The sequence below is a fragment of the Homo sapiens genome, chromosome 1, assembly GCF_000001405.40.
Source record: "Homo sapiens chromosome 1, GRCh38.p14 Primary Assembly".
Taxonomy (NCBI): Eukaryota; Metazoa; Chordata; class Mammalia; order Primates; family Hominidae; genus Homo; species Homo sapiens.
The window spans coordinates 11330264-11345572 of record NC_000001.11 but is presented as its reverse complement, the minus strand read 5'-3'; the positions used below and the strand labels follow the sequence as shown (position 1 = coordinate 11345572).

General features: G+C 52.4%; 4 annotated features.

The window, feature by feature from the left end:
- Positions 1468-1968: an enhancer, noted in NCBI's record as "H3K4me1 hESC enhancer chr1:11403662-11404162 (GRCh37/hg19 assembly coordinates)". NCBI's record gives its function as "activates a minimal SCP1, AML or CMV promoter by ChIP-STARR-seq in naive H9 embryonic stem cells {active_cell/tissue: H9 hESC(naive)}" and the evidence as "EXISTENCE:reporter gene assay evidence [ECO:0000049][PMID:30033119]".
- Positions 11231-11733: an enhancer, noted in NCBI's record as "H3K27ac-H3K4me1 hESC enhancer chr1:11393897-11394399 (GRCh37/hg19 assembly coordinates)". NCBI's record gives its function as "activates a minimal SCP1, AML or CMV promoter by ChIP-STARR-seq in naive H9 embryonic stem cells {active_cell/tissue: H9 hESC(naive)}" and the evidence as "EXISTENCE:reporter gene assay evidence [ECO:0000049][PMID:30033119]".
- Positions 13226-14203: an enhancer, noted in NCBI's record as "H3K4me1 hESC enhancer chr1:11391427-11392404 (GRCh37/hg19 assembly coordinates)". NCBI's record gives its function as "activates a minimal SCP1, AML or CMV promoter by ChIP-STARR-seq in naive H9 embryonic stem cells {active_cell/tissue: H9 hESC(naive)}" and the evidence as "EXISTENCE:reporter gene assay evidence [ECO:0000049][PMID:30033119]".
- Positions 14204-15181: an enhancer, noted in NCBI's record as "H3K4me1 hESC enhancer chr1:11390449-11391426 (GRCh37/hg19 assembly coordinates)". NCBI's record gives its function as "activates a minimal SCP1, AML or CMV promoter by ChIP-STARR-seq in primed H9 embryonic stem cells {active_cell/tissue: H9 hESC(primed)}" and the evidence as "EXISTENCE:reporter gene assay evidence [ECO:0000049][PMID:30033119]".

Below are 15309 nucleotides of genomic sequence, written 5' to 3'. Positions count from 1 at the left end.
CCGAGTCCCCTGCTCCCCTGCCCACCACCTTTGAAGGGGAGCTCGGCTGGGGTTGTGGACTCAGGATCTCATGCATGGGAAACAGTCCTGTTCCTCAGTCCCTCTTCCTGGACAGAAGGCAGGAAGATCTGACCTCTTCCCATCATGGGATTCCCCGGGGTGGTGTGAGGGGTCAGGGAGTAGATGAGTCAGGAGGACACAGTGTGGCCCCGCAGGTCCTGTGAGGCTGGTCCCAGCTTACCCTCCAAGCCCCCACCTCCTTCCCCGTGGCCTCCCATTCCAGGCTGCACCCCCATTTTGCTCTCTCTCTCCTCTAGGCCTTTGTTCTTGCTGTTTATGCTATTTCCTTCACTTGAAACACTTTTCCCTTCCCCGCTGTTACCTGGCTGGTGCCCTCGGGGTTGGGGAAGCTGCCAGCTCCCCTAGGGCATCTTCCCCAACCGTTAAGCTGAGTTGGGCCCCTGCCTCTGGGCTTCAGGGACCTGGACCCCCCAGTTCTGGCACTTCTTCCACTGCACTGTAACCATCTTTGTGCTAGTGCTCCCTCCACCTCCCCAACCTGCCCACCACACATTGGATTGTAAACTATGTGACCTTGGCAGGCTTTGGCCCCCGAGGGGTTTGAATCCAAGCTCTGCCTCTTACTAGCTGTGTGAACTTCGGTGAATTACTTAACCTCTCTGTGCCTGGATCTCCTCTTCTGTACAGTCAGAATGACAAAAATAGAACGGACCTCATAGGGCTGTTGTGAGCGTTTAATGTATTCAGCCAGTGAAAGTGCTCGGCCCAGTGCTTCTCAGAGCTCGGGAAGTGGTCAGTCCCTCATCCCTCCTCTGCCATTCCAACATCCCCAAAGCTCTGAGACCAAAAAGCTTTTCAAAACTCATTTGGCAGCAAAACCTAAACTGAACTGACCTTAGAGATACTTAACAGTCTGTATCCCACTATTCACATGTATTTCGCTACAGAAATATGAATATGTTGGAGTCGTCTGTAATATAGGGAACATTACATTAATAAAATCTGAAAACAATTTTGAAATCTGAAATGCACGTGGCCCCAACAGCTTCTTTGCGGAACTGTGGCCGACAGCACTCTCATGATTTTCATGAAGGATAGCATGTTAATATCAACTGCCTGAGAGCCAGGACCGTGCGTGTCTTATTCAGCACTGGGCCTGGCACAGAGCAGTTCTCCATAAACTGGGTGACAGTTGGGACAGTGACTGGAGCTAGCCCTGCTTCCCTGACTTTCTAGGAGGCTGTGCCCTGCCACCCATCTCCTCGGAGCCCCAAGCCCAGGCCCAACCTACTCACTTCCCCCAGGTCACCCCTTGCTGTTGGTGGCAGAAGCGGGGTTGAAACCTTCCCCTCACCTGCCTCCCTGAGGACTACCTGGGTTTGCGCAGGGAGGGGATCACTCATTCCAAATCTCAGCTGAGGAGCAGGAAGCTGCCTGGGGAGCTGCCACCACATCCCTGCTTTCCAGGCCCCAGGACAGGCCCACTCTTCCAGGAAGGCATGAGGCTGCTCTCAGACCTTCCCTGCCCTCTCCCCACAATGGCACATTAGGAGGAGGCTGGACGGGAAGGACTCGCCAGCTGAAATTAAACTAAGCACCAATCTGGCCAGGTGCAGTGGCTTACACCTGTAATCCCAGCACTTTGGGAGGCTGAGGCGGGCGGATTGCTTGAGGCCAGGAGTTCGAGACCAACCTGGCAACATGGTGAAGCCCTGTCTCTACTAAAAAAAAAAAAAAAAAAAACAAGCCAGGCCTGGTGTCAGGCACCTGCAATCCCAGCTACTCAGGAAGCTGAGGCATGAGAATTGCTTGAACCTGGGAGGTGGAGGTTGCAGTGAGCCAAGATCATGCCGCTGCACTCCAGCCTGGGCAACAGAGCAAGACACTGTCTCAAAAAGCAAACAAACTAAGCACCGATCTGTGCTGGGCCCCAGTGTGTATTGATAGGTATAGATATGCACAGGTATGGATTAGCTATATATCTAGACATGGAGGATACAAGCAGCTACAAACACCTTCACCTGCTTAATCGTCACATCAAACACGTGGGTGGGTGCCATTAATGTTCAGTGGGTTCTAATGAATAAACCCACCACCTCCTCCACCAAGTTCAGATCCAATCAAGAGAGAGACACTGAAATCCCATGGATAAAGGTCCAAATGGCAGTTTGAACATCTACCAAAAGCTGAATGGCAGAATGTGACAGGGTGGGGAAGTCTGAGAGCATTACGCCCCTGCTCATGGAAACACGAAGCCCATTTTGTAGATGAGGAAACGGAGGCAAGTCAATGAGGAACAGGAATTTGAACCCAGGTTATCCTGTCTCCAGGTATCAATGTAAATCTGTATCTAGCCTACCCCTAGATCATCTACATGCCTCGGGATCTCCAGGATCCAAGGCACAATGATTCTGATAGCAAAAGAAGCCAAGAGGAGTGGAGCCTGCAGCAGAGCCCTGGGGTCTAGGCAAAGGCTGGTCCATGATTTCCCTCCTGGCTCCTCCCCTCCTGCTCCTCTCCCCACCTCCCCTCTTCTCCCCTGTCCTTATCCTTCCCTGTCAGATCACTATCATTCATTTCCCTCTGGTTACCAAGCTTGGCGAGGCAGCTTTCCTGGTTCCATGTCTGATCTGCATGCCTGAGCCAAGAAAAGGACTTGCTTTCAGGAGCCACTTCCTCCTCCAGCTCATTAAACAGCTGGTCCCCTTGTCTGGGTTCAACAGTCAAAAGCCTAATCCATGTCTGGCAGCTGGAACAAATCCTACCAGGGACTCAAACAGCCCCACCTGTGGGGAGAGTAGGAGACCCAGCCGCTCGCTGGAAAGCCAATTTCGAGACAGCGCTCTCTGAGGCTGCACTAATTTTGTCTCATGTTCCAGAGCTGCAGTCACTTTATAAATCCGGCAGAGAATGCTGCCAAGGGTTCAAGAACAGGGTTCCAAGACCCGAGATTAGGCCAATGCTGTTCCCTATCCCCCAGGAAAGGCCCCCCAGGACAGCTTGCCCCTGCAGCAAAAATGGCCAATGCTTCCTTTTATAAATCAACCCCATATGGGCTTTCCAGGATTCTGAGGTTGCATCTGGGCTCAGCACGAAGGAGTCCTGTGATTGATTAGGGATGTCTGCCACAGCTGCGGCCTGGGACCTGGTGTGCAGAGGCCATGTGTTCACTTTTTCAGTACTCATGATTGCTCTGGCAATGGCCCTATGATTGTGTCACTCTGGGACTGGGGTGTGTGTGTGTATGTGTGTGTCATCTTGAAATATATACGTTTACAAAGCTGCTTATAAAGCAGTGGTCAACTACAGCCCTTCCTCCACACCATATGGCCCATACGCCTCCAGCAAGCACAGAACCTCCTGGAGTTTCATTGCAACATTTACAAAATGAAGATGAAGCTGCCAGGTTGGGACAAGTTTGCATGCATGAAACTCCTCTCCACTTATGGCAATAAAGGATTTTGTAAGTTATAAAGTCATGGCTGCATGCCATGGATCAGAAACAGAGCAGAACAGCCAGCGGTAAACAGGAGATGGAGCCTCGGGCTTGCTGTTCTCTAGGTCCTGAACAGGTAGGAGTGGCAGGAGATCCAGTTCACCCAGGATGCTGGAACCAAAGGGCCTCCCAGGGCAGGTGAACTCCACTAGCAAAATTCTGCAAGAGCGCCGCGTGGGCCAATAGATAAGCCTTTACAATGAACTATGTGTTTCCTCTTCAATGGCTTCTCCGCCCACTCTCCCCACCTGGGCTCCAATCCAACCACACTCACCTGCCTCAGGGCCTTTGCAATCACTGTTCCCACTGCCTGCATGCTCCACCCTTATATCCCCTATCAGCTCACTCCTTCACTTCATGAAAGTTTCTGCTGAAATATTATCAGAGCAGCCTGTCTGGACACCTTATATAAAATAGCCTCTTCTATCTCTCACTTTTTTTTAAAAAGAGATGGAGTCTCACTCTAAGTTGCCCAGGCTGGGGTGCAATGGTGCAATCACGGCTCACTGCAACCTTGACTTGCTGGACTCACGCAATCCCCCTGTCTCAGCCTCCCAAGTAGCTGGGACTACAGCCACACACCACCATGCCCAGCTAAGTTTTTAATTTTTTGTAGAGACAGGATCTCACTATGTTACCCAGGCTGGTCTTAAACTCATGGCCTCAAGCGATCCTCCTGCCTTGGACTCCCAAAGCACTGGCGTGAGCCACTGCACCAGCCATCACTCTTTATGCCCCTTATTCGGCTTTATTTTCTCATAGCACATCTATTTGTTTCTTGTTTGCCTCTCTCCCTTCCCTCTAATTAGAATGTTAGTTCTGCAAGGATAGGAATTGTGTCTGCTATGTGAACTGCTACATCCCCAGAGCCTGGGATGCGGTCTGGCACATGATTGGGGCTCTCCAGGTGTGTGTTGAATGATTAAGTGAGGGTTAGGATTTTATGAATTAAGATACTGAGGTTTAGAAAGGCTGAGTATCTTGCCCGATAATAATAACTGCTTTTTTTTTTTTTTTTTGAGACAGAGTCTTACTCTGTCACCTAGGCTGGAGAGCAATGATGTGATGATGGCTCACTGCAACCTCCACCTCCCGGATTCAAGAGATTCTCCTGCCTCAGCCTCCCGAGTAGCTGGGATTACAGGCATGCGCCAACATACCCAGCTAATGTATTTTTAGTAGACGGGGTTTCTCCATGTTGGCCAAGCTGGTCTTGAACTCCTGACCTCAGATGATCCACCCAACTTGGCCTCCCAAAGTGCTGGGATTACAGGCATGAGCCACCATGCCTGGCCTATAACTGTGCTTTATTAAAAGTTCTCTGTGCCAAGCACTGTGCAGAGCCCTTTGCATACACTGCCCTTTAAGCTTCATGGTAAGTCTACGAAGTGGGACTATCCCCATTTTACAGATAGAGACCAGCCAGGTTGAGTCACTTGCTCAGGATCACACAGCAGGTCAGGAGGGGAGCTGCATGTTCCCCAAGCCCCCACTGGTAACTTCTTTGCTCTCCTGGCCCCCGGGCTCCCCTCAAACAAAGCAAAGGCTTCTGTGTCGAGTGGATCATATGTTTCATTCCCCTGTCTCCAGGCAGCACTATAAATCATCAGACAGAATCCATCCAGATTTTACCAACTCCTTGCCAAGGGGTTTCACCATTTCCCATCCCAGTGTTTCCTCTTTCCAAAGTTAAGCCTCATCACTGCAAATTCTTCTTTTCAGTCTAACCCGAATCCCACTTGCTTCACATTCAACCTATTTCTTCTTGTCCCACCTTCCAGGGAGCTGGAGAAAATCGGCAGGAGACACAGGCACTGCAACCAAAATGCTCCATTTAGCTGGGAGAGAAGCCACAGGCTCCACGCCCCAGCGATTCACCAGAAAGCCGAAAGCCCCAGCTCCCAAGGCCAGCCCTGTCAGCACCTGGCCCCGTGTTCCTTTCCCAGGGCCCTGCCTTGCCACGGTGATTTATGGGCCCTGTCAATCTGCAGGCTGAGCCACGGAGACAGCTGGGAGTAGCAAGGATCAGCAGCGGCCACGCGGGCCAAGGGGGGTGGGGTGGCTCAGGCTGAGCCTGGGGGGAGGGGGAGGGGAGCAAGAGACCCAGACACTCCAGACCACAGTGTGACAGAGATGGGGATGGAGACCCCAGCACGCCGGGTCAGAGCAGCCGCCAGCCTGAACCAGGGCAAGAAGCTGCGGAACAAAGACTCCAACCAGAAAAGCATGAAGAAGGAGCAGAACGGGAGACAGCCTGAGAGCCGCTGGAGCCGCTTCTCCTAGGGAGTTTCAGATTCTCTTTATTCTGAAGACAAAAGCAAAATGAAGATGACAGACGGTGAGAGATGTTTAGCGGGTTTGTTTTTCTGCAGACGTTCTGGAGGACCTGGATGAAATCGCCAATTAGCCCTCCTCCCCGCAAGCAAGCTCCCAAGTCCACAACCCTGGTGGGAACTAAGTTCCCCACCCAGCCCCAGCTGGAGGCAACTCTCACTCTGTCTCTCTCACCCCCGGTTTATGTGTCTTTGTCCCTGCAGCTGCACGTCTGACTCCTTCTTCTTTCTTTCTTGGTCTCCCTTACCTTAGATTTTTCTTCCTTGGTATTTTCTGGTCTCCTGCCTCCCTCTCTGACCCATCTCACTCCGAGGAGCCACTGGAGCAGGCTCTCTGGCCCTTGGACCCATCTGTCTCCTGCCTCTGGCATTTCTTGCGCCCCTCCCGGTGTGTCCTCCCGTCTCACCCCCACGCTGTCTCATTGTTCATTGGCGATTGACCTTAGTTTCTTTTTTTTTTTTTTTTGAGACAGTCTCTCCCTCTCACCCAGGCTGGAGTGTAGTGGCTCAGTCTCGGCTCACTGCAACCTCCACCTCTCAGGTTCAAGTGATTCTCCTGCCTCAGCCTCCTGAGTAGCTGGGATTACAGGTGTCCACCACCACACCTGGCTAATTTTTGCATTGTTAGTAGAGACGGGTTTCACCGTGTTGGCCAGGCTGGTCTTGAACTCCTGACCTCAGGTGATCCTCCTGCCTCAGCCTCCCTAAGTGCTGGGATTACAGGCATGAGCCACTGCACCCGGCCATTGACCTTAGTTTTTGATGTCCATCCGCTGCAGGTGTCCCTCCCGTGGCCCTGGGCAGTGCGTCCAGGTGGCCTGTGGAGCAGGAGAGTGGAGTCCCCAGCCAGAATTTGCTGTGCAGAGAGGGAGACCCTGCATTGCTCTCAGCTGCGGGCAGCTTGGCATAAGGAAAAGGCAGTGCCCATAGTTAGGGGAACAGAAGAGGCAGCCAGCAGCAACTTTCATCCAGAGTGGATCTGAAATTCCAGGCCAGGCCTGAGGAATGCTCAGCTGCTTTTGTGTGCATACACACACACACGGAGACACACACATACACGCACGCATACCCACACGGGGACACACACACATACACACACAGACACATATGGGGACACACACAGGGACACACACATACACGGGGACACACAAGGGGACACACATACACACAAGGACATACACACAGGGACACAAAGCACAACAGCCACACACTGGGCAGCCTCAGATGGCCTCACAACCAGACTCCCAAATTCACATCTCTCCACAGTCATCCAGGAACCACAGTCCTTCCAACTCCCAACCCCAAACCACACTGCCCGGAGACATTCCCCTGCCCCACAGGGCACCAGGAGCCCTGAGGCTAGAAAGGGGCTCTGGGCATGTGCACTGCGTAAGGGAGAAGGATAATTTGTCTCAACTTAAATCCAGCCCTCGCTATGGGGACACCAGCCTCTCCCTGGCGACCGTGAAAGGGAGGACGAGGAGGAGGAAGAGGAGAAGGGGGAGGTGAAAGAGGGGGAGAGGGAGGAGGAGGAGGGGAGAAGGAGGAGAAGGGGGGGGAGAAGAGGAGAAGGGGGAGGAGGAGGAGGTGGGGGAGGAGGAGGAGGTAGGGGAGGAGGAGGGGAGGGGAAGGAGGGGGAGGAGAGGGAGGAGGGGGAGGAGAGGGAGGAGGAGGAGGAGGTGAAAGAGGGGGAGGAGGGGGGAAGGAGCACAGCTTTCGACCCAGGCTCTTCAGGTGAAGGAAGGAAAGAAAGACTGGTTCCCAGCGCGCCCTAGGAGAGAGGCCAGGAATACAAGGCCACGAAAGCCCATCTGTTTCCAGGCTTCTGTGATTTGTTTTCCCTTTTCTTTGAATACCCCTTGATTTATGAGACTAGGGGTGAAGATCTCTTCTCATTTAACTTACTTTGAAGCTGATTCAAGTTGTTCCAATAATAAATCAGTCTAAATAAAAAGCACCTGCTTGCATGGGGGCTGAAGGGAAGCCGCTGCCTGAACACGTCCGGCCGGGGGGAGGTGCGCCCCCTGGGGGCCTGAGAGGAGATGAGAGTGCCTGCCCCTGGAACCCAGGCAGGAGGCGCATCGTCCCTGAGCACTGTATGTATATATACTACATATGCAGTGTATGCACCACATATGCGCCACACGTGCACTATATATACACGCTATATATGCCATATGTGCCCTACATGTCCACCACATGTACGATATAGGTACTATACATGCACTATATATATGCATTACATATGTACTATATATGCAGTTTACTCACTACATGTAAACTACATATGCACTATGTATATATAGTATATATACTATATATACATATGCACTATATATACACTATATGTGCACTACATGTACACCACATAGACCATATATATGTGTAATGTAATGCACGTGTAATGTAATGTGGCGTAGTGTAATGTAGTGTACATGTAATGCACATATAGTGTATATATGTGAATATAAAGTGCATATAGATTGCCTATGTAGTGAATATATAGTGCACATATAGTGTATGTGTAAATGCACGTATAGTTATATATAGTGCATGTATATGCACTGCATAGATACTCTATATGCACTATATATTCACTACATATTCATATGCTACATAGGCACTATATGTCCACTACATGTACACCACATATATGATAGATGTGTAATGTAATTCACACGTGTAATGTAGTGCACGTGTGTATATGTTTCGTGTACATATGTTTCATGTACACTATGTGCACTATGTACCATATATGCACACTATATGTGCACCACATATGTACTATATATGCGCTGTATATTCACTACACGTACACTACATATGCACGATATATACACTACAGCACGTGCACTATATATACGCTACGTATACACCATATATGCACTAGATGTCCACTGTAAATGCACTATATGTGCACTGTATACACTGCATATACAGTATGCGCTACATATATACTATAGGCACATTGTATTCCCACCGCACCGCAATGAGACAGGCATCATTATTATCTAGTTAGAGGCATGACCCAGGAAAACCCCACCAACCCTACCTGCACCACCCCTCAGGCCCCTGCCACAGGCTTCCTTGGGGCCTGCTGTTTTGTTGTTGGGTTTTTGCTTTGTTTTGTTTTGTTTTGAGATATGGTATCACTCTGCTGCCTCGGCTGAAGTACAGTGGCATGATCATAGCTCACTATGGCCTTGAACTCCTGGGCTCAAGTGATCCTCCCACCTCAGCCTCCCGAGTAGCTGGGGCTATAGGCACCTGGCTACTTTTTGTAGAAACGGGGTGTTTCACCAAGTTTCCCAGGCTGGTCTCAAACTCCTGGCCTTAAGTGATCCTCCTTGGCCTCCTGAAGCGCTAGGATTACAGGCGTGAGCCATTGCGCCTGGCCAGGGGCCCACTCTGGTGCTGGCTAGGACAGCTCTAGCCATGCCTGCTTTGCTGGGGAAGGGCAGGAACCGGATAATTTCTTCTTTCCCACCCAGGCCCTGCGCTTCAATCTTTGAGTTTCTTGCTTTGTTCGGGAGATTTCCTTTCATTTTGAATAAACAATCACTTAACGGCCTGTGGCTGCACCTCCTCCTGCTTCAATGGGAGGTGATCACAGTGTCCAACCTGACAGACTGTTCCAGACCCAGCTTCCCTGCCTGTGCCCCTCAACCAGACTCTGGCACCAAGAAATGACCACACAGGGTCTCCCAGTTTGATATGGGGTAACTTGAGCCCCAGGAACTCAGGCAGGAGCCACCCAGACCTATAGCCTAATCACAGCTCCACCAGGGTTTAGCTCTGTGACCTTAGGCAAGTGGCTTGACAACTCTGAACCTCCATTTCCTCTGCTGAGCACAGAAATAGTGACAGGTCCCACCTTGTGAGGCCATGAAGATCCTGCTTAGCCCAGTGCTTGATACGGGGTTATTGCTTAGGAAATGGTGGGGTAGGGTTATGGGAGCCGGGGTGAATGAGCCCCGAGAAGAAACCTCAACCCACAGGAGAGCTACAAATGATGCCTGAGGCCACACAGGGACACCCCGAGACATACCCCACCCCTCCACAACCCAGCAGAGGGAGGTGACAGAGAGGTGGCTAGAAGGAGATGGGGAACTGAGACTTCTCACAAGTACATGTGGGAGTCCCCGGCACCACCAAGTGCCACCACCCCAAGAAGTGAGATACACGGAGTGTGATGTTTCTCTGGCACAAGCCGTCCTCACAGCCCAGGAGGTGTGGCCCAGTTAGGAACTTGCTAATGACCTTCTCTGTCAGCTCAGGACTGAATGAGCAGGCTCCAGGCCTCCAGGCTAATGCCAAGCCCGACCCTGAGTTCTTAGGGGCCACACTGGAGAGTGGGAGGTCACGGCACATGCGGGTCCTGTCTGGGTTTTAGGGACAGGGCCGGGCTGTGTTCAGAGCTGTGAGTATGAGGGGACTGGGGCTTCTGGAGAGCGCCTGAAGAATTTACAAAGACCCTTGGTCATGGAAGTATAACGTGTCCGGGGCCAGAGGACTCAGGACAGAGGATCAGGGCCCAAAGAAGGGATAGGGCTAGGCGGCAGTGAGGCCTAGTGAGAGGCAGGGCTGGGTGAGAAGATAGAGACCAAGCTGGGGCTGTGGCCCGGTGAGGCGGGGAGGGGGCTGGTGGGGGATGGAGGCTTGGAGAGGGGCTCCAGATAGACAGTGGAGACAGGAACCAGGATGGCCACAGACCTGGGCCACTAGGGGCCCTGCTGGGGCATCTTGGTTGGGGGGAGCACGCCAGAGCCTGGGGGGACAGTGGGACCTGCCCGCAGCATCCTCACCGGGCAGCCATCAGGAGCTACTGTGCTGGGGACAGAGGTGTCTCGGGGGGTGTGGCATGTTGCTTCCCCTGAAAATGAGAGTGACTGGGCTCTTTTCTCGCTGGGAGAGAAAGCGGCTCCGCTCTCCTTCTGTCCACAGTTCTGCCAGCTCCTCAATGCCCCCTGCCTGCCCCAGGACAAGGGCAAAGCCAGGTATCTGGTGGGACCAGATTGGGCCTTCCTGCCCACGCCCCGGTCTGCCACCAAGCAGCCTACACCATCTCTGTTCTCTCTCTGCTTCTCCTCCTCCTCCTCCCTCCCATACTCACCTTCACTCCTGTTTCCCAATAACCACCCTCGGAGAAAGGAGTCAGAGGAGTTTGGACAAAGTTCATCCTCCCCAGCCCCAGGGTGCAGACACTTCCCTCTCAGCCACGGCCTCTGTTTGGGGCTGGCCCAGACAAGGGGAGGGGTAAGGGGGACATCCCTCTGGCTGCCTGTAGGGTCCACCCAGCCGGGGAAGAAGCCTCCACGCACGGAGGAGTTGTCCACAGGGAGGGCTGCAGAGCAGACAGAGACCCATTTACAAACCAGGCCAAATTTTTTTTTTTTTTTTTTTTTTTGAGACAGAGTTTCACTCTGTCGCCCAGGCTAGAATGCAGTGGCGCGATCTCGGCTCACTGCAAGCTCCGCCTCCAGGGTTCACACCGTTCTCCTGCCTCAGCCTCCCAAGTAGCTGGGACTACAGACGCCCGCCACCATGCCCGGCTAATTTTTTGTATTTTTTTTTTAGTAGAGGCGGGGTTTCACCGTGTTCACCAGGATGGTCTCGATCTCCTGACCTGGTGATCCGCCCGCCTCGGCCTCCCAAAGTGCTGGGATTACAGGCGTGAGCCACCGTGCCTGGCCTAATTTTCTTTAAAAGTGGCATTCTTGTCTTCTAGAAAATACGATGCCATTTTCCTGGCTTGGTGAGGGGTGAGGGGCATTATCCCATCTCCGCTGCCTCTGCCTCCCTCCCCTTCCCCTCCTGGCAGTGCTACTGCTGTTATTAATAGGAAGCAGCTTCCCGGGGCAGCCACCCAGTACAGGTCATCCATCTCCCTCAGAGCGGCCGTCACCCCCCACGGCTCAGCACCCGAGGAGTGGCACTCAGGCTGGGAGCTCTGACCTCATCCCCACTTCCCTCCCTGCCCCCCTCCTCACCTTCTAGTGTTGGCATAGCAAGGTCCTGGGGCAGGAAGGAGCTAAGCTGCCCAGCAGGGATGCCCCAAGCAAGCCTCCCTCCAACATGAAATGTTCATGCATTCATGCATTCAGCAAACATTTATTGAACACCTATTATGAGGCGCACACTGTTCAGGGCCCCAGAGTCAGAGCAATGACCAGACACAGTCCCTGCCCTCATGGAGCTAACTGACATTCCAGTGGGGGAGACAGATATGAAAAGAATAAACTATAAATAAATGACAAAATCTTAGATTTTAGACTCACAATGTCAAATGCAATGAAGCAATAAAACAGGAAAAGGAGATAGGATGTGCTGGGTTCGGGGGTGGTCAGGAGAAGGCTCTGCACAGAGGTGACATCTGTGCTGAGACCTGAATGATAAGAAGCAGTCAGCCCTTAGATCTGAGACGAGAGCATGCCAGGCAGAGAGAATGGAAGGGCAAAGGTGTGGAGAGAGACCGAGTTCTGGCGGTACAGGGGCAGAAAGGGTCAGTGTGGTAGGGCAGTGGAGGAGATCTTGGGGTGAGAAGAGGCTGGAAAAAGAAGAGAAGGTTAGGTCAGGCATGGGACACAAAGAGAAGCTTGGATTTTTTGTCTTTTTTTTTCCAAGATGGAGTCTCGCTCTGTCACCCAGGCTGGAGTGCAGTGGCACAATCTCGGCTCACTGCAACCTCTACCTCCTGGGTTCAAGTGATTCTCCTGCCTCAGCCTCCCGTGTAGCTGGGATTACAGACGCGCACCACCACACCCTGCTAATTCTTTGTATTTTTAGTAGAGACGGGGTTTCACCATGTTGGCCAGGCTGGTCTCGAACTCCTGACCTCAAATGATCCCCCGCCTCGGCCTCCCAAAGTGCTGGGATTACAGGTGTGAGCCACTGAGCCCAGGCTTTTTTTTTTTTTTTTTTTTTTTTTTTGACACAGGCAGGGTCTCACTCTGTCACCCAGGCTGGAGTCCAATGGCCTGATCATGGCTCACTGCAGCCTTGGCCTACTGGGCTCAAGGGATCCTCTTATGTCCACCTCCCTACTAGCTGGGACTATAGGCACGTGCCACCATGCTCAGCTAATCTTTGTATTTTTTGTAGAGACAGGGTTTCGCCATGTTGCCCAGACCGGTCTTCAACTCCTGGGCTTAAGCAATCCACACACATTGGCCTCCCAAAGTGCTGGGATTACAGGCATGAGCCACCGTGCCCAGCCTGGATTATTTTGTAAGTAGAATAGGAAGCTATTCAAAGTTTTAAGCCAGCAACAACATAATCTGGTTTGTTCTTTTATTTTTATTGTTTTGAGACAGGGTCTCGCTCTATTGCCCAGGCTGGAGTGCAGTAGCGTGATCACAGCTCGCTGCAGCCTCCACCTCTTCGTCTCAAATCATCCTCCCACCTCAGCCTACCAAGTAGCTGGGACTACACAAGTGCACTACCAAGCCCAGATAATTTTTTTTCTTTTTTTTTAGAAACAGGGTCTTGCTGTTTTGCCCAGGCTTGTCTTGAAACTCCTGGCCTCAAGCAGTCCTCCTGACTCAGCCTCCTAAAGTGTTGGGATCACAGGCGTGAGCCACCACGTCCAGCCTAGTTTGTTCTTTTAAAAACCACTCTGGCTGCTGGGTGGAAAATAGATGGTAGGAGTTGAGTGGGAGGGAGAGGATCCTTCGGTCATGCAGCTGTGAGGCGAGGGGAATGGAGCGGTAGGTAGTGGTGGGGATGAAGTCATCGGACTTAGGGTCTATTCCGCAGGCCAAGCTGACAGTGCCGGCAGATGAGCTGTGCCTCTCCCGCTTCCCCGTTTCCAAACAGGGGTGAGGAATGTGGTCTTTATTCCCATATCCTCTACATCCATCTAGGGGTGTGTGCTCTGCTGTCCCTCTGCCTCCCCAGCCTGAGGCTCACTGTTACTCCCAGCCAGAGCATGCAGCCATGGCTGGGGTTCCCTGCAGGGAAGGAAAGAGAGTTCAGGCCAGGAAGGGTGTCCGATGGCCAGCCTCCAGTTTAGGGGAGAATCCGGCTCTGCTCCCAGCACCACTGGGAAGCTCGATTCATTGTGCAGAGGTGAATGTAAAGGCACTGGGGTTTCAGTTATTCTTGGCTTCTGTGCTGGGCCTGAAACTCAAACTCCTCCCAGCAGCTCCTGTCATCACAGGGGAGCAGGTTCCCTCAGCAACATGGGTGTGGATTCCAGCTCTACAGACACAAGCTGGGTGATCCTGAGAAAATGACTCTGAGCCTAGTCACTTGATTAAGTCCCTCATTTATTTAAAAAGAAAAAATGTAGTGAGCCAGGCCTTCTACAAGTGCTCGGGATGCTGCAGAGAACAAAAGGAATTTACAGTCTAAGTGGGAAGACAGACAACAAGTAAACAAGCAAAAGCATATCATGATTTGTCATCAGGGCTAGGAAGCGGAGAACAGGGCGAATGAATGGAAGGTAGTCATTGAGGAGAGACTATGTAGTCTGGGTGGGTGAGAGGATTAAATGAGATAATACGTGTAAAGCCCTCGACACAGAGCCTGGCACAGGGGAAGTACCAGTGCCTGCCAGCGGCTCGGGGAAGCAGGGAGAGGGGAGGGCATCAACTGGCTTCCAGCTCCAAGCCCGGAGCTGAACGGAGGAGGGGCTGGGGCAGCCAGAGCCAGCTATTTCCCCTGCCAAAGGTCAGAATCAGGACTGCAACCTCTCTCTCTCTTTTTTTTTTTTTAGTTTATTTGAGATGTAGTCTGTCACCCAGGCTGGAGGGCAGTGGCGTGACCCCGGCTCACTACAATCTCTGCCTCCCGGGTTCAAGGGATTCTCCTGCCTCAGCCTCCCAAGGAGCTGGGATTACAGGTGCCCGCCACCACGCCTGGCTAATTTTTTTTTTCTTTTTTGTATTTTTTTAGAGACGGGGTTTCATCATGTTGGCCAGGCTGGTCTCGAACTCCTGACCTCAAGTGATCTGCCTGCCCCGGCCTCCCAAAGTGCTGGGATTACCCCGTGCCTGGCCAGGACTGCAGCCTCTTGGTGAGAGGTGGGAATAGCCCAATTCCTGACTTCAGGTCTGGTGCTCACTCTACTTCCTGGAGTGGGAGGAGAGGAGACTCACCAGACCCTCCTCCAATGAACTGGCTGGCCCAGATGGTGACACCAGGGACAGGGGATCCTCACAGAGCTGCTCATGCCAACCCACCTTCCTAGGCTCCAGGTAGAATTTGCAAAACCTCTGCTGCCAGTGGTCAGTCAGGGCTGGAAACCCCTCTATGACCCTTCCTGGGGACGGCTGAAGACACTGGCCCCTCCAGGTTTGGGATCCAGCCCCACCCCTGGCCGCCCCTGCCCCAGCCTCCCTTCTGCTGTAGTCACAGAGATGATTTCTAACACTCTCTGTGGGGAGAAGTTCAGTGGAGCTCCGAAGCTGGGCCGGGTGGCTGTCCTGACTTTCTCTTAGGCCAGAGGGAGGAGCTAGC